General features: G+C 47.8%; 1 long non-coding RNA gene across 3 annotated transcripts in view, besides 1 other annotated feature; it reads left to right on the top strand.

Annotated features, from left to right (window-relative positions):
- The window catches only part of LOC107985840 (uncharacterized), a 57,332-nt gene that overhangs the window by 11,229 nt on the left and 23,319 nt on the right, over positions 1-22,784 (top strand). Inside the window, exon 3 of one of the 3 annotated variants that reach the window (XR_001739258.2) lies at positions 19,012-19,432. The exons of the other annotated variants lie outside the window; for them this stretch is intronic. This is a non-coding gene — a long non-coding RNA (uncharacterized LOC107985840). Of the gene's footprint in view, positions 1-19,011; positions 19,433-22,784 lie in introns of those variants that run through there. 3 annotated transcript variants of the gene reach the window in all.
- Positions 6,215-7,160: an enhancer, noted in NCBI's record as "H3K27ac-H3K4me1 hESC enhancer chr2:3172751-3173696 (GRCh37/hg19 assembly coordinates)". NCBI's record gives its function as "activates a minimal SCP1, AML or CMV promoter by ChIP-STARR-seq in naive H9 embryonic stem cells {active_cell/tissue: H9 hESC(naive)}" and the evidence as "EXISTENCE:reporter gene assay evidence [ECO:0000049][PMID:30033119]".

The following is a 22,784-nucleotide window of genomic DNA, read 5'->3' as shown; positions in this document are numbered from 1 at the left end:
CCCACCTTGGGAGCACCTCACACGAGTGTCCTCGGTGAATCTGCATTTTTAATTCTGCCCCCGTTTTTGTTTGTTTGTTTGTTTTTGAGACGGAGTCTCGCTCTGTCGCCCAGGCTGGAGTGCAATGGTGCGATCTCAACTCGCTGCAATCTCCACCTCCTGGGTTCAAGCAATTCTCATGCCTCAGCCTTGCAAGTAGCTGGGATTACCTGCATGCACCACCACGCCCAGCTAATTTTCGTATTTTTAGTAGAGATGGCTGGTCTCAAACTCCTGACCTCAAGTGATTCACCAACCTTGGCCTCCTAAAGTGCTGGTATTACAGGCGTGAGCCACTGTGCCCAGCCCCCGCTTTAATTTTGTTTGGCTTTGTTTGTGGCATCATTTAGTGGAATGAGGTCACATGGGTTTTGCAGCCAGAGGTCCTGAGTTGGAATCATGGTTGGGCTACTTCACTACCTGGGGCAATGACCCTTCTTCTTCTGGGCAGCAGCGTCCTCATCTGTAAACAGATGGTATTAATGGGCTCCTCCTGAAGGTGCAGGTTCCATGGCAAGATGCACATAAGGTGCCTGGTGTGTGACCAGTATTCAGGCGCTGGTCCCTTCCCTCCATTTCCAAAAGCCCTTGTGTGTTCGTGCCTCCCCAGCTGACCGGAGCATCACACCTCAGGTCTTCCCTGGGCGGTGTTCTGCTCTGAATCCTTCTAAGCATGACAGAAAGTGGACTCAGCCTGCCGGGCGGGCAGATGAATTGCACGAAAGTGTCTGCCTCAGTGTCCTCCTCAAAGGCATGTAGCAGATGCCCTTGGAGTGAGGATGAGCCCTGCCACAGCCATCAGCTGTCTGTGCATCATTCTGAGCAACACCCTGCAGCCTCCCTGGAAAGCTGGTGTTCTATGGCCTCTGCAGCTTGTCTCGGCCTCGCCAGGCAGGGTGACAGAGTGACCTCCTGGCCGGGTGTGATTGTGGTACTGGTCAGCTGCCTGTGAGAGCAGGCAATCTAGCCGCCCTCTGTGGACCTGCAAGGTGACCTCCAGACACCCACGAGGAGAATGTGGTGATGTGGGGAAGGAGGGAACCCCAGGTACTGCAGAGGGAACAGACCAGCCTGGACTCCCCTGTGGATAGAGCCCCGGTGGGTGAGGCACCCTGCTTCCCCACCTGCCTCCAGCATGCAGCTGCAGAGCAGGGACCGTGTAGATCAGTGCACTGGGATGAACAGCCGGGCAGTGTGCAGACAGCGCTGCAGACCCGAGCTGGCCACGTGATGCGGGGGCGCCCGTATGCCCGAGAACTGACAGCTCTTGGAGTCTGCAGCCACACAGCAGGACCTGGTTCGCTCCTGACTTCCTGGTGCACACCCTGGGCACCTTCCCTGTGTGGAGCCCACCTGTGCTGCCCACTGCCCCCACAAAGTTCCTCCTGGGAACGACCCTCTGTAACCAGGACTCATGGGCCATCGTGGTTACAGCTGTGTGCTCGGCCCTATCACATCCCACCAGAGATCAGAGGCCCCGGGAGGCACCTGCAGTGCTGGGGTTGCAGAGCAAATGAGCTCAGAGCCGGGATTCGAGGCCGGAGCTGAAAGGCAGGGCTCAGCTGCCTCTTGTGTGTTGACATTTAGCACGATGTTTGCAGGACTGTGCGTGTCGTTGTGCCTGGGTTCATTGTGGATTTGGATTTCTACTTCATTTTTAATATATTTAATTTAAAGCAACTATCTGATTTCTGGGCTGATATTCAGCAGTCAGAGACCAAAACATGGAGAGAGGGCAATGTAGTTCATGCTTATCTTTGAATTCTTTGTGTCTAGCATGGGGCCTGGGCCATAACCTTCGCTTAGATGTTGCTAATAAGTAAATAAAAAATCAAATTCCATAAATGGTCTGCATCTTATGCAAAATAATGTAAAAGTGTTAAGAGGAGACTATCAAACAAAATGGCAACCATTAGACTTATTTTTAAAGCTTGATCTGTCCCAGTGTTTAGAGCAGAGTGGTATATGATCTGTCCAATGGGGTCGTGGTAAAGTAGTATTTGAGGCCATTCATTCAGCAAACATGTACTGGGCTTCAGATGCTCTGCTAAGTACTCAGGATAGAAAGCAAGTAAAACACGCTCTCCTGCTTGGAAGGGCCTACAGCTTAGTCCATTCATGTGAAACAGTGGAGGTGGGACGTCAGGAAAGGGCTGTCCACAATGCAGGTGCAGAATCCGAGTCCAGGGACCCCATATTCCCCCTTGAGAGGCAGCTGGACATGGGGCAGGGGTTGTGCTCCTCTTTCAAGCTGGCTTGGGCCCCATCTGAGGCAGAGGCAATGGCCTGGCAGCGTCGGGAAAGTTCAGAGGGCTGGTGCTTGTGGCCCCTGTCTCCTGCACAATTAGGATCATAGCCCTAAGTGCCACGCACAAGCCTGAGAGGAGTGAAGGGTCTCCTAACCTTCATGCCTCTACAGTCAGTCCAGACCCTCCCAAGGGGGAACTGCAGAGACCCTCTCGGGGCATCTGTAGCAAATAGAACACTTTGTCTTCACGACAGCCAAGCAAAGTTCTTCCTCCTGCTGAGAGAACAGATCCTGTGTGACCTTCACACCTTCATTATTGGAAACTGCTAATGTGTGTTCCTTTTGAAATGTGCAAGATGTTGGACGTGATAAACTGAGGGAAGATTAAGGTGAGTAACTCCTTTGTTTAAACTTTGGCTTCATGGGTAGTCTTATTAAAGGAAGGGATTTAAAGTGCTTAAAAATTCAATAGGACAAAGGGCATGTTGTGGTTCAAGAAGTGACGTATTGCCATACAGGATGCGATCTGTTCCAACGACCATAAAGCAGTCATCTGAGCTCGCTGTGGTTGGAGCCGGCCAATTATAACACCTCCTGAAGACACAGGGACGCAATCTGCACGCTCCTGCAGGTCCCTGGGACGGCTTGGCTGGCAGCTCGGACAGCTGGGCTCCTCCAGGCACTGCTGAGCCCCCTTACGTCCAGTCAAGGTCATCCTAGCCATTCCCCCGTGGCCGTCTCCCCAGCCAGTGGCTAAAGTCACCGGCAGACCAGCCATTAAAGATGGGACGCCACTTGCTTCCCTTCAACATCCTCTTGGCTTTTTGCAAAATCCTTATCTTAGACATTTCTCCTTATGCTTAAGACACGTCGTTTGGTGGGGTCCTCTCTCAGGGCGAATCCATTCAGGGCTCACAGCAAGAGGGGAGCACACAAAGGAGAAGGGCTGGATTAGGGGACAGGAGCATTGGGAGGGTGTCAAATTCTCCACCTCTGCATTGTGTGGCTTCTCTGAGTGTTTCCTCGTGGGCACTGGGAGGATGATGTTTGCTCTGGGAACCAACCAGTGTCAACATGAGAACCAAGCGCTGCTTGTTGGGCGAGGCCCGAAGAACTGGAATCTGGAGTCAGACAGGCCTGGGCTTGTGTTTCACATCTGCCACTCACTGTGGGGCCAAGGTGGCAAGGACTTACCTTCCTTGTGCTTCGGTGCCTGCATTTGTTAAGTGGGGATAACAGCATCTAATTCATTTTGATGAGGATGTTCTCAGGCTTAATGCTATAATTTATGGAACTAGTGCTTGGCCCAGTGCAGAACCTCAAGGAATGGCAGCCGCTTTTAAAGTTATTACCACGACGATAGTGTTATTATCACTCTTACTCCTACTTCCATTACCATTACTACAGCGCACGGCGCAGAAGCCCTTCAGAAAGCGCGGAGCCCCTTGCAGGTGTGAGGGCTGATTCCGGGTAACGTCCAGGCTCACCTGATGACGGCTGTAATTACCCAGAACTTGCTGCTGGTCTCTCCTGCCGGTAACTCTTGCAGAACAGCCACCAGGAGCCTTTTATATCGTGTGTCATAACACAACTCTGGGTTCTTAGGAAGTTGGGTGTGTAACGGCCCCACCCGTCACAGAAGCAGAGTGCATTTCCAGATTAAAAACGACGAGGACTCTTGCTCCTGTGCGGGCGAGCTGTGACCTGCACTTTGTAGCTGCACACACTGATGTATCTTTGTGCACATAATGACTGCTTCAGGCCAGTGTGTGCATGTGCAGATGGCACTGCCCTTCCCTTCAAGCTGTGCTGGTGGAATACCTCTCACATCCGCCCAGTGAGGCCCAAGCCTCCTCCTGTCTCAGCCTTCGTCACTCTCATCTCAGCCTTTTTCTTCCTAGTCACCTAGAGGTGTTGATGAGTTAGTGCAGTCACTCATTCACATCAACAAACATGTATCTTGGGCCTGCGGTATATAGCAGCACTGGTGATACCAGCCAGGAAATCAGCATGTAGACTGCCCGCTCCGTGGGGCACATGTGTCGGGGCCTCAGAGAGCAGGAGGAGCTTGTGTGCTTTCTGCTTGGCTGGGGAAACCAAATACAGGGACAAAGGGACAAGTCACCCAGGCATCACAATGTGCTCACACACCTGCAGATGCACCGCAAGGGTGGACACCGTGTGGGGCCTGGCCTGTGCCCAGCGCTGGGTTAGAATGTGGCATTGTCCCTGTCCTAGTGAGCTCACGCCTAGATGAGGGACGCTCTGGTGAACACACAATTTAACCTTCAGTAGAATCCAAGCAGGTAAATATCAGGTTTTAGAAGAAGAGAAAGACCACGTTTGGCAAAGAGGCACATGATGGCTTTGAAGATCTGGGAAACGTGGAGCTAGAGGTGAGTGAGGCCTGTGCTGGGATGAGAAATAGGGGTTCAGCCAAGGGGGCTCATGAGATGCAGCCAGAGGGATGGCGCCGTGGTGCACACACACGAGGATCCCCTGCCACGGTGGACACACATGGGGACCCCCTGCCACAGTGGACATGCACGAGGATCCCCTGCCACAGTGGACACACACGGGGACCCCCTGCCACAGCCCATACACAGAAGAGCCGCCTGCCGTGGTGCACTCACACAGGAATGGGATGCGAGTCAGGCAGTGATGAGTGATGGTCCCCCACGCCAGGCAGACAAGCTGAGGTGGAGCTAGGTGGCAAGAAGGATGGTGAGGGGCTCCCGTGTGTGTGCACTGTGGCAGGGGTTCCCATGTGTGCGCCGTGGCAGGCGATCCCCATGTGTGTGCGCTGTGGCAGAGGGTCCCTGCGTGTGTGCACCGTGGCAGGGGCTTCCTGCGTGTGTGCATTGTGGCAGGGGGTCCCCATGTGCGTGCCCCGTGGCAGGGGGTCCCTGCGTGTGTGCGCTGTGGCAGGGGGTCCCCGTGTGTGTGCCGTGGCAGGAGGTCCCCGTGTGTGCACCGTGGCAGGGGGTCCCTGTGTGTGTGTGCCATGGCAGAGGGTCCCCCTGTGTGCACCGTGGCAGGGGGTCCCCATGTGTGCGCCGTGGCAGAGGGTCCCCATGAGTGTGCGCCATGGCAGAGGGTCCCCGTGTGTGTGCGCCATGGCAGAGTCCCCGTGTGTGTGTGCCATGGCAGGGGGTCCCCGTGTGTGCGCCGTGGCAGAGGGTCCCCATGTGTGTGCGCCGTGGCAGGGGGTCCCTGCGTGTGTGCGCCGTGGCAGGGGGTCCCCATGTGTGCACTTCAGGGCAGCGGTTCCCCTGCATGCACACTGTGCGCTCCATGCACACAGATATGAAATTGTGGAACAGACCTCAACACCTATAACTGTGCCTGGAAAGGACAGACTAGCTTGGAAGCTGTTATAATAATTTCAGGTAAAGCGGTTTAGGCTAGATGGAGTGGCTGTAGAACCGGAGAGGAGATGCAGCTTTCATCCTGGGGAGGGAGTGGGAGATGACACAAAGGGTGGGTTTGTGAAAAGGAGAAACAGCTGTCAGGGAAGAACCCTAAAAAAGGCCCTTGGACCTGATCTCCTGAGAAGACACACCTCAGCTACTCTTGTGATCATTAAAATGTGACAGAGTGAAATCTTCGTGAGTTAGAATTTCATCCCAGCACACCCTCCCATCTGCAGAACACTGATACCTGGTGTTGGGAGTGATGGCCAAGAACTCCAGAGAAGCAAGTAAATTAGGTGCAATTGGATGTGGGGGTAAACTAGCATGCACCTGCCTTCCGGCCTAGAGGACTCGGAAGCTCCTGCAAGCAGGCGAGGTGACCCTCTACAGCCCAATCAGCCCAGCCCTTCCCCAGACATCACCAACCCCAAAGGGCTACACTCCCGCTTAAAATTACAATCACAAACCAATTCCTCCCGTAATAGAAGGCATTTTCATATATAAATCAATATATCTTCCTTTCTCTTTCTGTAAGGAAGACAGAGGATTGTAATTTATTTCTCTTTCCTTCTGTGTATAAACTAATTTTTTCTTGTTATAAAAGAAAGAGAATTCTAATTTGCTGCTTTGGAACAAGCCCAGCGACGGAGCCTAAATATGTGGAGGGAACTCTGGAGATTACAGAGTGAAGTTCAGCTGACCTGGTGCCACAAATTAAGCTGCAGTCCACTTAAGCTGCCAACAACAATAAATTAAGCTATTGTGCTTGGAGGACGTTGGGATCGGCACTGCATAGGATCAAGGCTCTATTAAGTGGAGGCACTTACTCCATCCCTCCTGCCGCCAGCCCTGGCCGAGGGGGCTTGGCGTCTACTTTTCCTTGAAATGTGTGATGTCTGAACTTCCATTTCAGCGCGCGTGTCATCAGCACGGTGCCCCAAGGTGCTGAGAGTTCACGTCGTTCTTGGTCTTTTGACAGAGTAAGGGTGATAAAGTCAGGAGATTCGCCTTTTACGAAATAACGTGAACATTCTCTAAAGTGAGACCTGTGCGTAGTAAGAGGTGGGCTGAACCACAGGACGCATTGATGAGGCCCATATTCTTTTCCTTTTCATCTGAGGTCATTCTGTCTGGCCCTTCCTACCCCCAGAGGCCAGTCATGGTTTTGTTCACAAAATGACAACAACGTAGCCTCTAGAAAGCTTGTTGTGGGATGACTCAGAGGTGATGAGCCTCAAATGAGTTTGAGGTTCTAATAAAGGGGTTGCATATTCCGTGCTCCCACAGCTGCCTTCAAATCTATGGAAATCTTAGAGAAAATGCTGATCTTTCCTCCAAGTAAATCGTTAGTTATTCTGAGCTTGTGGATAGGGCTAAGGCCATTCCTTTTCTCCTTTTCTCTGTCTCTTCCCCTTCTCTTTCTCTTATTCCTGTCCCACATACAGGCATTTGAGGTGGCTCTTAAATCAGTCACAGCACACAATGCTGCTGTTGGGAATAAGGGCAGAAAAGAGAATCCACGAATGGGCATGAGGAATTTGGGGTTCCCGGCGCGAGCGTCTTCTGGTGCTAAATCGTAGTCTGCAGATGCTGCGCTGAGGCACTTTCCCTTGCGCCTGTCACTGTGCCCTCCCCTCCCCCAGGGTGACTGTAACACAGCTCCGCTTCCTCTCTGGAATGTTCCAATGTTCCATAAATTAGTCAACGCCCATCCACCCTGAGGCAGGATGATGCAGCTCATGGCTTCACAGAAGCTTGGATTTGGTCACCAGGGCCCTGTCTGGGGCTCTAGCCATTGATTTAGCAGGTTCAGTGGGCGGCTTGTGCTGGCGGGGCTGATCCCTGCCTGCCTGACCACAGCCTGTTAGCTGCAGAAGACTGGCCCGTGGGGCTCTCCAGGGGGCATTCTGAGGCCCTGGTGAGTGCTCTGGTTCAGGCAGGGGTGCCTTTTTCCTGGCTAAATTCCCCCGGTAGAAGTGGCAGGCCTCCCCTGAGCCGCCGTGGCAGAGGGCTGAGAGCCCACCTCCTGCAGTTCAGCCCTGCATATCCACCTGGAAAGGCACAAGTCCCTGCGAGGGACCCTGTCTGGGTCCAAGGGTGGCTGGGAGTTGCACTAAAGCTTTCTCTTCTTTTACTCTTATCTGGTGAGTCTGCGTTTTTTGTGTAGGGACCCACTTCACTTGTTTAGAGGAATAATGATATATGCTTTTTACCTTTCCGAGAAGAAATTTAGTCTTTAATTAGATTAAAACATAGGGAAACATAAAAACACAAAAGCAAAACCGATTCTTTTGCAAAAATGAACTTATTCTTGGAACTAAAATGCAGTTCTCAAAATGAAGTTCTGTAATGACTTAGAGCGACACAGTAGACCCTACATTCAGCCCTGGTTTTTCTAAAAGAGATGAACACGCTGTTTAAATGACTGGTTTGTTGTTGTTGTTGTTGGGCTTTTTTTTTTTTTTTTTTTTTTGACGGAATTTCACTCTTGTTGCCTAGGCTGGAGAGCAATGGTGAGATCTTGGCTAACTGCGACCTCCGACTCTGGGGTTCAAGCTATTCTCCTGCCTCAGCCTCCTGAGTAGCTGGGATTACAGGTGCCCGCCACCATGCCTGGCTAATTTTGTATTTTTAGTAGAGACGGGGTTTCTCCATGTTGGTCAGGCTGTTCTCTATCTCCTGACCTCAGGTGATCCACCCACTTTGGCCTCCCAAAGTGCTGGGATTACAGGCGTGAGCCACTGTGCCCGGCCTAAATGTCTGGTTCTTATAATGATCCTTCACAGAGGGCTGAGGCTGCCACAGTAAGTCCCAACTCGATGGTGGGATTACTGAAGGGGTGAGTACGGAAATCAGATCTGGGGACAGGCACTTGGTCCGGTTCCATCTTTGACAGCACAGATAGAAAAAGCCAATGATATTAGCTACATGTACAGTGGATAATATATTTTTAAGACTTCTTGTCCTGTTCTTAGATTGCAGCCACCACAAAAACTTTTCAAAAATCCTGTCCAGTTGTGAAAAGGCAGACCGTGCAGGTCCTGTGCAGCCCGTCCCTAGCCACAAACCCAAGTCGGGGTAGAGAAAGAACGCTTGCATTTGAGCAGGTGCAGAGACCCTGTCAAAGAAGACGTGTAGCCCCTCAGCCCCACACCAGCAGCCCCATGTTCCAGCCTGGAGCCAGGCTCACCCACACATCGAGGTGGCCACTCCCCAAACCACCAAACTCATTTCCTCACAGTCCTTCTGGCCATACTGACAACCTGGGCTTTCTCCCTCAGGGCCTTTCTCTGACTGCTCCACCCACTCACAGACCCTCCCTGTTCCCTGCCTTGCCTCGTCTTGAAATTTGGGCCATCAATGAGCTGTGCTGCAGCCACTTGAGCACACGGGGTTCCACTCCCTAGACTATTTAAGCCACCATACTGCTGGCTGCATGCAGACGTCTTCACATTTATTTATTTTTTTAAAGATATCCAGGTTTTTGTTTGTTTTGAGATAGAGTCTCGCTCTGTCGCCCAGGCTGGAGTGCAGTGACTCGATCTTGGCTCACTACAAACTCTGCCTCCCAGGTTCAAGCAATTCTCCTGCCTCAGCCACCCTAGTAGCTGGAATTACAGGTGTGCATCACCACATTCGGCTGATTTTTGTATTTTTAATAGAGACAGTTTTGGTCATGTTGGCCAGGCTGGTCTTGAACTCCGGGCCTCAAGTGATCTGCCTGCCTCCCAAAGTGCTTGGATTGCAGGCATGAGCCATTGTGCCCGGGCAAAGATATTGAGTTTTAAAATGTGCATCCACTCTTTTTAGTGTACAATCTATGAGTTTTTGACAAATGCATACTGGAGCAGCCTCCACCACAATCGAGACGAAGAATCCACCCTGGCCATCTCCCCTGAGCTATTCCTTGCAGCTGAGTCTCCCCTCCCTCCCCCTTAGCCACCGACAACCTGTGAGCTGGTCTTTATCTCTGCATTTGCCTTTTCCAGAAGGTCATATAAATGGAATCATACATATAAATAATATATGATCAAACATGTAAATGGGGTCAAAAGTAAACATGTTTTACTAAACACAGTGCATCTGAGATCCCTCCACGCTGATGCAGGCGTCCACAGTTCCTTCCTCTTTATCGCTGATGAGTGCCCCATCGCATGGACGTACCACAGGTGATCCGTTCTCCGGGGCTGGGTATTTGGATGCGTATGAGGATGAGGATGAATAAGGCTGCTATAAACATTTCATGCAGATTTGTGTGTGGTCATAGTTTGCTTTACTCTTGCCTGCTCGGGAGAGACCTAGTCATGTGGTAAGTGTTTGTTTAACTTGATAAGAAACTGCCAGTTTCAGCCAGGTGCAGTGGCTCACACCTGTAATCCCAGCACTTTGGGAGGCCGAGGCAGGCAGATCACGAGGTCAGGAAATCGAGACCATCCTGGCTAACACTGTGAAACCCCATCTCTACTGAAAATACAAAAAATTATTCAGGCATGGTGGCAGGCGCCTGTAGTCCCAGCTACCCGGGAGGCTGAGGCAGGAGAATGGTGTGAACCCGGGAGGTGGAACTTGGAGTGAGCCGAGATCGCGCCACTGCACTCCAGCCTAGGTGATAGAGTGAGACTCCATCTCAAAAAAAAAAAAAAAAAAGAAAGAAACTGCCAGTTTCCCAAAGAGGTTATGCCATTCTGCATTCCTGCCAGCAATGGGGATGCATTATGGATGCCCACACCCTTGCCAGTGGTGATGTGATCTGTCATTTTAATGTTAGCCTTGCTGGTTGGTATGTAGAGGCATTTAATTGTGGTTTTAGTTTGCATTTCTCTAATGACTCCATGTTGAGTCTCTTTTCATGTATATATTTTCTATCCATACATCTCTGGCGAATTATCTATTCAAATTTTTGTCCTTTAAAAAAAATTGGGTGGTGGTTGATTGGATAAAGAAACTGTGGTACATAATCACCATAGAATACTACACAGCCATAAAGAAGAATGAAATCATGGCCTCTGCAGCAGCATGGACGCAGCTGGAGGCCATTATCCAGGTGAATTAACACAGAATCGGAAAGCCAAATACTGCATATCCTTACTTATAAGTGGGAGCTAAATCTTGGGTACACGTGGGCGTAAGGAGGGGAACAGTAGATACTGGGAACTCTAAAAGGAGGGAGGGAGGGTACCAAGGGCTGAACAACTTCCTAGTGGAAACTATGTTTACTGTCTGGGGGATGGGATCAATGGAAGCGGAAGCCTCAGTTGGGCAAACCTGCACATGCACCCCCTGAATCTAAAACAAAAATGGAAATTAAAAAACTGGATTGCATGTTTTCTAACTGTTGAGTTTGACAGTGCTTCATATATTCTAGATATAAGTTCTTCATCAGATATGTAACTTGTAAATATTTGCTTTTAGTCTATAGTTTTAAAATTTTTCTTAACAAAAGTTTTGAATTTTGCTGAAGTCTAATTTATTAATTTTTTGAACGGATCATGCTTTTGGTGCCATATCTAAAACCTAATTACCTCACACAAAGTCTAAATAGTTTCTTTACAGTTTTGCCTTTTACATTTAGACCTGTGATCCATTTGACTTAACTTTACGAGCTATGGAAGGCTCCAGGGAGGCTCATTTTGTTGCATATGCATTTCAATTGTCCAGCATCTTTTGTTGAAAAGATGATTCCTTGAATTGCCTTTGCAGCTTCGTCAAAAATCAATTAACTATATATTTGTGTGGGATTATTGGACTCTCTGTTTTGTTCCATTGATCTATGTATTTGTCCTCTCACTAATACCACATGTGATAAACTCATTTATTTGCTTGAGGAGCTTTCTTTTTTCCTAGAATACTTGGAATTTTTCAGGCAGACATTTATGTTTTATGCAAACCAGAAACAGTTTTATTTCTTCCTTTCTATTCCATATGCGATTTCTGTATGCTGCTGTATTGCAGTGGCCAGAACCTCCGTATAGTGTTGAAAAGGAGTGGTGAGAGATGACATCCTTGTTTTGTTCCTGATCAGAGGGGATAAATTTTTCAGTCTTTGACCACTAAGTGTGATGGCAAATTTTAGTATTTTGTAGATACTCAATATCAGGTTGAGGAATTCCCTTCTGTTCCTATTTATATGAGCATTAACCAGTATTGAATTTTGTTGAATGCCATTTTTGTGTTTATTGATATAATCAGGCTTTCTTCTTTAGTCTGGTAACATGGTGGATTACACTGATTGATTTTCAAATGCTGATCAGCCTTACATGAGGTTGAAGTCCCTTAGTGTTGATTTGCTATTCATTTTAAATATTGAGGATTTTAGTTGCTATTATTTTGTGGAGGATTTTTGTGTCTTTCTTCATGAGGAATATTGGTCTCTTCTCTTTTATTGTGGTATCTTTGTCTGCTCTTGGCATCAGAGCAATGCTGGCCTCATCAAATGAGTTGTACAGGCTTCCCTCTCCTATTTTCTGGAAGTGATTGCATAGAATTAGTTTTATTCCTCCCTTAAATGTTTGGTAGAATTTGCCAGTAAAACCTTCTAGATTCTGAGTTTTCTTTTTGGGAGGCTGAAATTGTCCCAGAAGTTTCTGAGACTATGTTCTCCACCCATCCTCCCACCTCCCTGCCACTCTTTTCCTCCTTCTCTGTTCTTCAGATAGGATAATTTATACTTTCTACCTTCAAGTTCTTGGGCTCCCCCCACCCTGTTATCTTAATTGTACAGTTGAAGCATCTTCGTGATTTTTTTTTTTTGCTTCTGTTTTATTTTTTCAGTTCTAAAGTTTTTATTTTTCTTCTATGGTTTCTATTTCTTTGCTGCAATACCTGTCTTTCTCTTTGTTTCAAGAGTGTTCGCCTTTACTCATGGAGCATAGTTATACTAGCTGCTTGAAAGTCTTTGTCTGATAATTCAAACACCTGAGCCATCTCAAAGTTGCATGTGTCCTGGGTGTTTGAGTTAATCAGACCTTGACAATTGGGCAGATTTTCCTAGCTCTTAGTATGTTGAGTGATTTTGGATTATATCTTGGGCATAGTGGCTATGATGTTGTGAGATGCTGAGTTTGTTTAAATCAATGGTTTTCAGCCAGGGATGATTTTGCCCCATAGAGAACACTTGGGAATGTCTGGAGACAATTTTGACTATTCCAACTGTGGGGTACTACTTCCTGGTGTTTAGTGGATGGAGGCAAGGTGCTGCTAAGCATCCAGTAATGCACAGGACAGTCTCTTCCAACAAGAAGTTATCCTGTCCAAAATGTCAACAGTGCATACATTGAGAAACCTGTGTTTAAATTTTCCAGAGAATGTTAAGTTCAGGCCACAATCCTGTCTCACCTTCTGTGGGAAGTGATTTTAGCACCAGTTCAGTTTTAAAAGCCTTTGTTCTATGTGCCATAATTGAATTGTGTCCTTCAAATTTATATGTTGATGCCCTACCCCCAGTGTGATGGTATTCGGAGGCGGGGCTATTTAAGGAGGTAATCAGGTTCATATGAGGTCACGAGGGTGGAGTCTTCATGATGGGATTAGTGCCCTTACAAGAGAGACCAGGGAGCTCTCTCTGATTGAGGACACAGTGAGAATGTGGTCATCTGTAAGCCAGAAAGAGGGTCCTTCCCAGAACTAGACCCTGCTGGCACCCTGATCTCATACTTCCAGTCTCCAGGACTGTGAGAAAATAAGCTTCTGTTGTTTAAATCACTCAGTCTATGGTATTTTGTCATGGTCGCCCGAGCTGACTAATCCACTCTGCCTCTCTATGTTCCGTGCATGCACAGCTTAGAGGTAAGCCTAGGGTTCATGGCAGCTCACACACATTAGCCCCCTAATAATGGGGGACTACTTAACTGTCTGCCCCTGGGAATTCCCCCATACTGTCTGGATCACAGGGGCACAATCCTTGGCTGGAAAGCTCTGGTTTCTCAGCCATGTGAGAAACTGTATTGCAGTTTCACCTGAGTAGAGTGGTTTTCAGGGCAAAGTGGCAAGAGAAAAAAGACAAAAAAATTAGTGGGTTCCCCCAATATTTTTGGAACACAGAGGCCCATTTTCTCAGTTCCCCCAGCCAGAGGGATGATGTTTTTCTGGTATTTTAGTGACAACACCCCTGCCACTGCCATAATTTCAGGATGGGGTGGCCTCAGAGCAGGGCCAGGAAAGGAGACAGAGAAAGGACCTTGGTGTCCCAGCTAGCTCCCTCTGATCCTCTTTTTCAGTCCTCTGGGCAAAAAGAGAGGGATTCTCTTGAAGTTATTTCTGTAACTGCTTGCTGAGTAGTGCTGAGGCTCTGGCTGCCTTCAGGACAAAGCTGAGAGATAACAAGAGAGAATCCAATAACTTCATGCCTACTGGTCACCTGTCAAGTTCCAACTTCCCGTTCCAATCTGCCTGCTGTTGCCCACATTTTGGAGTCCTCAGGTGCTAGCTTTCTGTACGCTGTCAGAGTTTTTTGTTGTAGTTGGTGGGAGAGAGCCTGTAGTGGACTTACTGCATCTTGACCAGGACCAGAGCGATTTATTTTCCTTTTTAGAAAAGAGACAGGGAAGGGAATTGAGATGGTAAGTAGATTTTCTTTAGACATAGCAGATATTGGTTTCTTTTCTTGCACTACTTTGAGGCAGTGTGTTAGCTGGCATGAGGTATTGTATTTGTTTTTATTTTTTTATTTTATTTAATTGTTTTTTTTTTTTTTTTTTTTTTTTTTGAGACAGGATCTCTCTCTGTCACTCAGGGTGGAGTGCAGTGGAGTGATTACAGCTCATTGCAGCCTCGAACTCCCAGGCTCAGTCCTCTCACCTCAGCCGCCAGATAGCTGGGATTACAGGTGCACATCACCACGCCTGACTAAGTCTTGTATTTTTTGGTAGCGATGAGGTTTTGCCATGTTGCCCAGGCTGCTCTTGAACCCCTGGGCTTAAGTGATCCTCCCTCCTCAGCCTCCCAAAGTGTGAAAATTAGAGGTGTGAGCCACTGTGGCTGGCTAATTTTTGTGTTTTTGTTGTTGTGGTTGTTGTTGAGATGGGATTTCACCATGTTTCCTAGGCTGATCTCAAACTCCTGGGCTTAAGTGATCCTTGGCCTCCCAAAGTGCTGGGACTAGAGGCATAAGCCACCTTGCCCAGCCAGCATGATGTATTTTAAATGTATTCTTCTCCTTTGGCATTCCTCCTGGGGAAGGTTGATGGAGTTGGTACTCCAAATATGGAGGCATGATCGTAGATGTGCTGTCTCGGTCAAGAGACTCCCAGTGTTTATTCTTGCACATTCCACATTTCCAAGCCTGTTTTGCAGTCAGTCACGGCCATGTGATTGCGTTCTGGCCAGAAGTGAGCATAGCAATGAGTTGCAGCCCTTTCAGGCCCTGCCTGAGGACCCTGTGCAACCTTCCTGCTGTGGTCTGTGCTCCCTGGCCAGCAGGATGCAGCCAACAGAGCTCAATGGATGCTCTAGAGACCCACATGCCAGAGAAGCCCTGGCCCCCTGAGTCACTGCATGGAGGAGACAGCCCCATCATGGCTGCCTGGCCCACATCAGACTGTAACACGAGCAGCTAGTGGGTTCTCATTGGGTTGAGTCACTGATATGTTTGTTATGGTAGCTAGAGTTGATTACCCTAACAAATACAATCTTTGATGGGCAATTTGAATCTCTCCCTGGTCGGACTGCTGAGTGAAATGTCAATCTTCTGATGAGTCATTTTCTGGCTCTAATTTTGCTTAAACCCCCTATCAAATGGGGGTATATTAGTCTGACCCACCAATATTACTTCTTGCTTTCCACAGCAATGTCAAAAGATAAATTGAAGCAATCTGGAAGACTTCAGACCCTTTGGAGGAAAGAGAGGCTATAAAGCCAAGGTATCATTATCATAATTTTGGCCACCACTCTGCCAAGTACACAGATACAAATTATGAATCATCTCTTAACTTTGACAGAACATAAGGATCGCTTTTGCAATTGAGATCTGTGGATAATTTTAAGTGCCCTGTGCCCGCCTTCAGGGTGCCGCCTTCCCTCTGACTGTTGCCATTCCCTTGGGTGGCATGGCTCGCAGGCACTGTGTGCTTTGGCAGCTGAAGGATCCAGCCCCAGGAGCCTGAGGAGTGAGTCTGCTTCGCGCGAACTTGCTCTGTTGATGGGATTTCGTGGCACACGTTCGGGGAAGCAGCACAGCACCGCCTGTCCAGATCACTTGTTAGATGTGGTTTAATTAAGCAAGGAGGGTCACTGTGGAGGAGACTGCTCTGCCTGCGTTTTGATTTGTGTGATGGTTAAAATGTTTGGAAGCTCCTTTAAGAAGCCAGGTGGTGTAGATGAAGGGAGTCATTCACCCGAGTGAGTTAGAAACAGCTGAGGGGCACCGTGCTTGCTTTACTCAAGGCATTCCCGGGAAGCTGCTGCCTCTCAGCCCCCACCACGGGAGGAGAGGAGACAGACATGGCTGTGGGGGGTCGGGGGGTCAGTGCTGTGGACGACGGTTCTCAGTCCTGGCTGGCCACCAGTGCCCTGGGGAGTTCATTCTTCATTCCCAGCCCCAGGCCCAGCCAGTCCTACCGCGGCAAAGACGTCTGTCCCCTTCTCCCTTTTAAACGTTTTTACTTTGACATAATTGTAGATTCACATGTGGTTGTAAGAAATAATATAGAAAGGGCCTGTGCACTCTCTACCCAGCTTCTCTTGACAATAGCATCTTGTAAAACTACAGTCTAATCTCATACCTGGGATATTGACATTGGTGCGGACCAGTGATCTTTCAGACTTCCCTGGTTCTGCTGAGTAGTGTGTTTGGATGCATTTGGTCGTGTGCAATTTTATCTCATGGGCGGCTCCCCTATTATCAAGACACAGAACGGTCCCGTGGATGTATGTTGCTGGTGCGTGGTGAGGCCTCCATAAATCTTTGTTGAATGACCCTTCAGCTCCTCGTTGACATGGAATGTGGGAATTCTGTGCCAAATCGAAGAAGTGCTAAGGAAGCACTTATCAGATAGAGGACACGCTGGGGACATCCAATTGGGCCAACAGCGCTGGAAGAGTCTGGAGCAGGCGAGGTGACAATGGTGGCTGCCACTCTCCACTGGAGTATTTGTGTATTAGAATGTGAAACAGATGAAGGTGTGTCTGTTAGTACATTTTAAAAATAAAGTATGTTGAGGTGCCCAGTTCTTACATCTGTAACTGGGCTACTTTTGTTGAATTATACTGATGGTTAGCTGAAGAGCTGGCAGAAGTATTTTCATGTTACTAGGGAGACATTTTAGAGTCTCTCTAGGACTTAGTGTCTGGTTGCCTCACGCCGTGACAGAGAGTTTCTGGGCCATGTATGAGAAGCTCGTTTGATCACATCAGTTACTGTGCTGTTCCTCAGCCCACGTTGATTTAGATCAATAAACCTCAGATCTGTTCACACCAGAATAGGCGCGGAGTGTCAGCATATCCACATCATAAAGGCTTTCGGGGGGCCTTTTCATCTGCAGTAGACTCCCTAACTTCTGCACCTGGCTGGGTGCCTGTAGTTGGTGCTAGCTGGTGTTGGCATAGTGTTAGTGTGGTATTAGCCTGCTGCTAGTGTGGTGTCCACATGGTGTCTCCATGATGTTAGCATGGCAATAGAGTGGTGATAGCATGGTGTTAGCATGGTGTAGTGTGGTGGTCATGATGTTAGCATGATGCAGCATGGTATTAGTGTGGTGTCTGCATGGTGTCAGCGTGATGTTAGCATGGTATAGTGTGATTTAGTGTGGTGTCTGCATGGTGTCTCCATGGTGTTTGCATGGTGTGATGTGGTATTAGTGTGGTGTCTGCATGGTGTCTCCATGGTGTTTGCATGCTGTTAGCATGGTGTGATGTGGTATTAGTGTGGTGTCTGCATGGTGTCTCCATGGTGTTTGTGTGGTGTCAGCATGGTGTCAGTGTGATGTTAGCTTGGTGTCAGCATGGTGTCAGTGTGATGTTAGCATGGTGTAGTGTGATTTAGTGTGGTGTCTGCATGGTGTTTGCATGGTGTTAACATGGTGTAATGTGTTGTTAGTGTGATGTCTTCATGGCATTTGGATTCAGCTGTGATGTACTTGGAAAAGTCCTGACTTTGGAGTAAGACACAGGTTCAAATCCGAGTCACATCACCTTTCCCAATACCAAAATTTCTCTGTGCCTCAGTTTCCTTTCCCATTTAACAATAGCTCCCCTTTCTTTGTTTTTTGTTTGTTTGTTTGTTGTTGTTGTTTTGAGACAGAGTCTCGCTCTGTCACCCAGGCTGGAGTGCAGTGGCGCAATCTTGGCTCACTGCAAGCTCCACCTCCCGGGTTCATGCCATTCTCCTGCCTCAGCCTCCCGAGTGAGTGTAGCTGGGACTACAGGCGCCTGCCACCATGCCTGGCTAATTTTTTTGTATTTTTAGTAGAGACGGGTTTTCACCGCGTTAGCCAGGATGGTCTCGATCTCCTGACCTCATGATCCGCCTGCCTCAGCCTGCCAAAGTGCTGGGATTATAGGCGTGAGCCAACACGCCCAGCCTAGCTCCCCTTTCTTTACTGAGTAGGAGTAAACGAGACTTTATGGAGGTGCCTTCACCATGCTTCATGTATTGTTAGCAGAGTTCAACAAGTTTTTCGCCCTGCAATTGACAGAAACCAAAAGACTTTTCTGTTTCTCACTGCTAAGGCCTGTGATCGAAAGTCTGCATGATTTCATGGCTAGGACATGAGGGCACGAGGGCTTTGCAGAAGTGCAGCCGTCTCAGGAAGGCAGCACATTATAGGGTCAGACCGCGGGCCTTCACGGCTGTAGGTGGCACCAGGCTGGATTCATCTCAACATGCTTGTGACCAGGCGAGCCACGGATCCTCCTGTAGACAGGCAACAGACAATATGTGAGTCCCATGTTGAGGTGCAGAGCATCGTGATGGGGAAGGGGTCTAAAAAGCTGAGAAACTTTCACAGATGGGGATTACTGTGTGATGTAATTTTCTAAATAAAAATATACAACAAAAACCTAATGTCATGAAGAGAAAACAGTTCAGAAGCAAACCACTGTGCTCAGTTCTGCTCCTTCCTTTCCCTAAACTAAAGGACCCCACTGACCAGACCCTCCCCTCCGGCATCGGCTCCACGTCTCTCAAGTCCCCAAAGCCCAGACAGCCACTGTAGCCTCGGAGGAGCCGCTGGGGGTGCACTGACCTCGCCCACCTCTTCCTGAACAGCCCCTTAGCCCAAGGCCAAAGCACCTGGCACCAGTCCTCTGTTCGACAGACTTGGCTGGATTCTGATTCAAGATGACTGAGCATGGTGTTTATTTCCTCTCCCTCCTCAGGTCCCTTTAAGACATGGCAGTGAAACGATGAAACAGGCAAAAGCTGGTTGGAGAGGAGTCATCAGAGAAGGAGCTTTAAGTGAATTTCTTGACGATGGTGCGCGGATGGATGGAGGAAGCCTCCTTGCTGATATAGAGTTGTGATCCGGGGTGGATGGGGGTGCATATGTGTTGGGGGAGGGCCGTGGGGATGGAGGGAGCTGCTCCTGGTGTGGGTGGTGGCCGTGATTCTGTGGGTTAATGGAAGGTACTGGGGATGGTCAACTCTGGTCACGCTTACCCTGCAATCTGACGGCGCCAGTGCCCACTGACTGGCCCAAATCACTCTTCTTCAAAGATTCTGAAAGGGCTGTACATCTAGAGTAGATCCAGGGCTTTTGCAGTGTTGGTGACTTAGAATAAAGATCTTCAAATTACGACATTTTGGGCCTCTGGCTCACTCCCCCAAAGCAAAATTTGTCCAATGACAATCTACAAAACTCAAGTAAGCCTCATTCTTAAATGTGACTGGAAATATTTAAGATAATCTAAAATAATCAAAGAGAATAAAAATAGCCTATGAAGAAGCAATTTAGAAACAAAATCCTCCCAATAATTAGAATTCTCAGAGAGATTTAAGGATATAATGCAGCCATAAAACATGAACATGTACTTTAAGAAAACAGCAATTGTGCCTCATAAAAGCTCTTGGAAACCTGGAATGTGGTAACTTCTGAATTTTTTTTAATCAAAAGAAAAGGGGAAATTTTCTAAAAAGTAAAACGAAAGAAGTGAAGGGGTAATGAGGCATGAAGGATCCTTCTAGGACAGACCACATTCAGCCAATAGAAGTTTTAGGAAAAGAAAACAGAGAAAATGGAGTAGAGGCAATTTTCAAGTAAATAGCACCAGAAAAGGTCCCCAAATTGTCAGGGAGACTCAAATGTTCATATTGAGAAAGTTGTGAACTGCTAAGTAAGATGAATTTTAAAAGATATCTTCACATGTCATTGTAAAAATTCAGAACACCTGGTTTAAAGAGAGACTAAAGTATTACCTAAAGAAAAAATAATTCAGCTACAAAGAAATAAAAATCAGACCGGCATTAGATCTCCAACAGCAACATAGCATAGTAGCATTCCAGAAGGCGGCAGGGTGACGTTTTTCCAGAAGGCAGCAGGGTGATGTTTTTTCGAGTGCTGACAAAGTTTCCACCTAAGTTCCACATCTAGACATCTATCAAACAAGTATGATTTTCAGACATGCGGTGAGTTCTAAGGGTCCCAAGATCCTTTCTGTTTTTAATAAACTTTTTTTTGCTCTAGTGCAACATACACGCAGAGAAGTGGGCAAAGTGAATCGAACTCTGCAGGCTGGTGTCCACATAAAGAGATGGAACACCACAGTGCCCACTGGCAGCCCCCCCAAGCCCCGCCTGCCATGGTCTCCAGGGGTGACTGTGATGCTCACCACTAGTGCTATCATTTAGCTTAGCCAATATTGGAACAGTTTTAACCAAGCATCATTTCTTAATGAGTTATTTGAGCACTTGAAATAGGGCACTGAATAGGAGCAGAGGAAGTGACTGTCCAGGGTCTGAGGCTGCAATGAGGGACCAGAGGTCCCAGGGTGGCCCCTCTATGCAGGAGTGTACGACCGGATGGTCTCAGAACAGGTGTTCCTGGGGAAGGGGATTCTCAGTAGATTAAGTGGGGAGACGGGATGGGTGGGAAATGCAAGGACAAGATAAAAGTAGAGGTTGAAGGAAAAAAAAGCCATTAGAAAGAAGCAGAATAATAATAGTGACAAATGTCCTCTCGACCCAGCCAGGGCAAGCAGAGAAGCAGAGATGGCCTAAATGTGGAGCAGTGGGTCCAAACTGGACCAGAGTGAATCTAACTTAATGAAAATGACAACTGCAAAAAAAAACAGAACTGATTCTAAGCAATCCATGAAATGCATAAGAAGCTCAAATGTATAATTGGGACAATGGTGAATAGCATTAATATTTCTTCTTTCTCAACAAGGAAAAGGCAATTAGAAATTCTAGAAAAACAACCACATAATAAAGATAGGGCCCCAGTATGGAACAATAAAAACAATGATGGTTTTGAATAATTGGTAAAGTCTAGGAAAGGAAAAGTCATTTGCGTTTGACACCAGGAACATTTTCCTAGGCGTGGCTTATGCTTTGAGTCATTGGACGTAGAGGGAGGGGTGCAACCCTGCAGCGGTGCTGGGCTCTGCAGTGAACCATGCAAATCACCTAAGGCAGCCGGGAATGGGGCCCAGCCAGCCTGCTGCAAAGTAGCTCTAGGTGCATCTTCCGTGCGTCTAGGTGTGCCATGTGACAAGGTGCTGTTGGATGCCTGTGAGTGGAAATGATGCCAGTGTACCCGGGCCTGGCCCATTAAAAACACCCACATCGTGCTCCTTTGGCCAGTTTCCCCTCCCACGGCTGAAACTGGATGACCGTGGAGTCTCACGCTCAAGATGTCAGAGCCTGGGTCACCTGGGTCCCTGAGTGGCTGAGGAGGAGATGCCACTCCATGGACCCACTTATCTTCAGGAACACGTACATCAGCAAGAAACAAATGATGGTGTTTATGCCATTTTATATTTGGAGGTTTATCTATTAGAGGAGTTAGCTATGCTAACTATTAATAATTCAGGTTAATTGGTTTTCAACTTTTTGGACTCTACAGACAAAGCACAGAGACTTACCCATGAGTAAAAATACAGTGCACGTGTCAGGAAGCTTAATAAGGCAGGGCGCCACCGTCAAAAGCAGGAAGAGGAAGCCGGTGAGGGCAGGGCAGGGGGGAAGGCTGGCGGTGCCAATACCTAGTCTCAGGGATCAGGGGTGCCTTCTGTCATTAGCGGGGAGTGTCACGTGTATTGCTTACTGCTGCAGTTAGATAATGGAAGGTACATCTGTCAATATTGATGTAACTATTGGGAGGCTGTAACAATAGTAAAGACAGCTAAATTCTTATTGATCATAATAGGAAAATAAGCTGATCAAGAAATCAGAAAGATCTGGGAAGTAACCAGAGAAGAAATGGAATCAGAACCATTAAAAGCGGTTACCCCTGAGGAGCAGGGCTGGAGGTGGGAGGGCTGTTTGGGGGCCGCCCAGCATCGCCCTTTTTCCTTTCCTCCATTTCTCCCTGTCTCTCTCTCTGTCTCTCTCATCAGCCCTCCTGCACTCTTTCAAATGTTAAACCTATGCATTTATTACTTTCATTTTAGAATTTAAAATATTTAAAGGTTTACTAAATACACATTAGAAATTAGGTTACTCAGGAGAACATGAAGTTTTTCCTGAGTACTCTAGGGACACTCAGTTATTAATAATTGATATGCAGCTCCCATGCCATGGTCGTCTGTTACAGTAGGTCTCCATATACCTGGCCTTAGGATATTCTTTATTTATTTATTTTTTTTTCCATAGGTTATTGGGGTACAGGTGGTATTTGGTTACATGAGTAAGTTCTTTAGTGATGATTTGTGAGCTTTGGGTGCACACATCACCCGAGCAGTATACCCTGCACCCTAATTGTAGCATTTTATCGCTCGCCCCCTCCCACCCTTCCCTGCAAGTCCCCAAAGTCCATTGCATCATTCTTATGCCTTTGCATCCTCCTAGCTCAGCTTCCACATATCAGTGAGAGCGTGATGTTTGGTTTTCCATTCTTGAGTTACTTCACTTAGAATAATAGTCTCCAATCTCATCCAGGTCGCTGCAAATGCCGTTAATTCCTTTTTATGGCTGAGTAGTATTCCATCATATA

Source organism: Homo sapiens, chromosome 2, assembly GCF_000001405.40.
Source record: "Homo sapiens chromosome 2, GRCh38.p14 Primary Assembly".
In the NCBI taxonomy this organism is placed as follows: Eukaryota; Metazoa; Chordata; class Mammalia; order Primates; family Hominidae; genus Homo; species Homo sapiens.
This window is presented reverse-complemented; position numbering and strand designations above follow the sequence as displayed.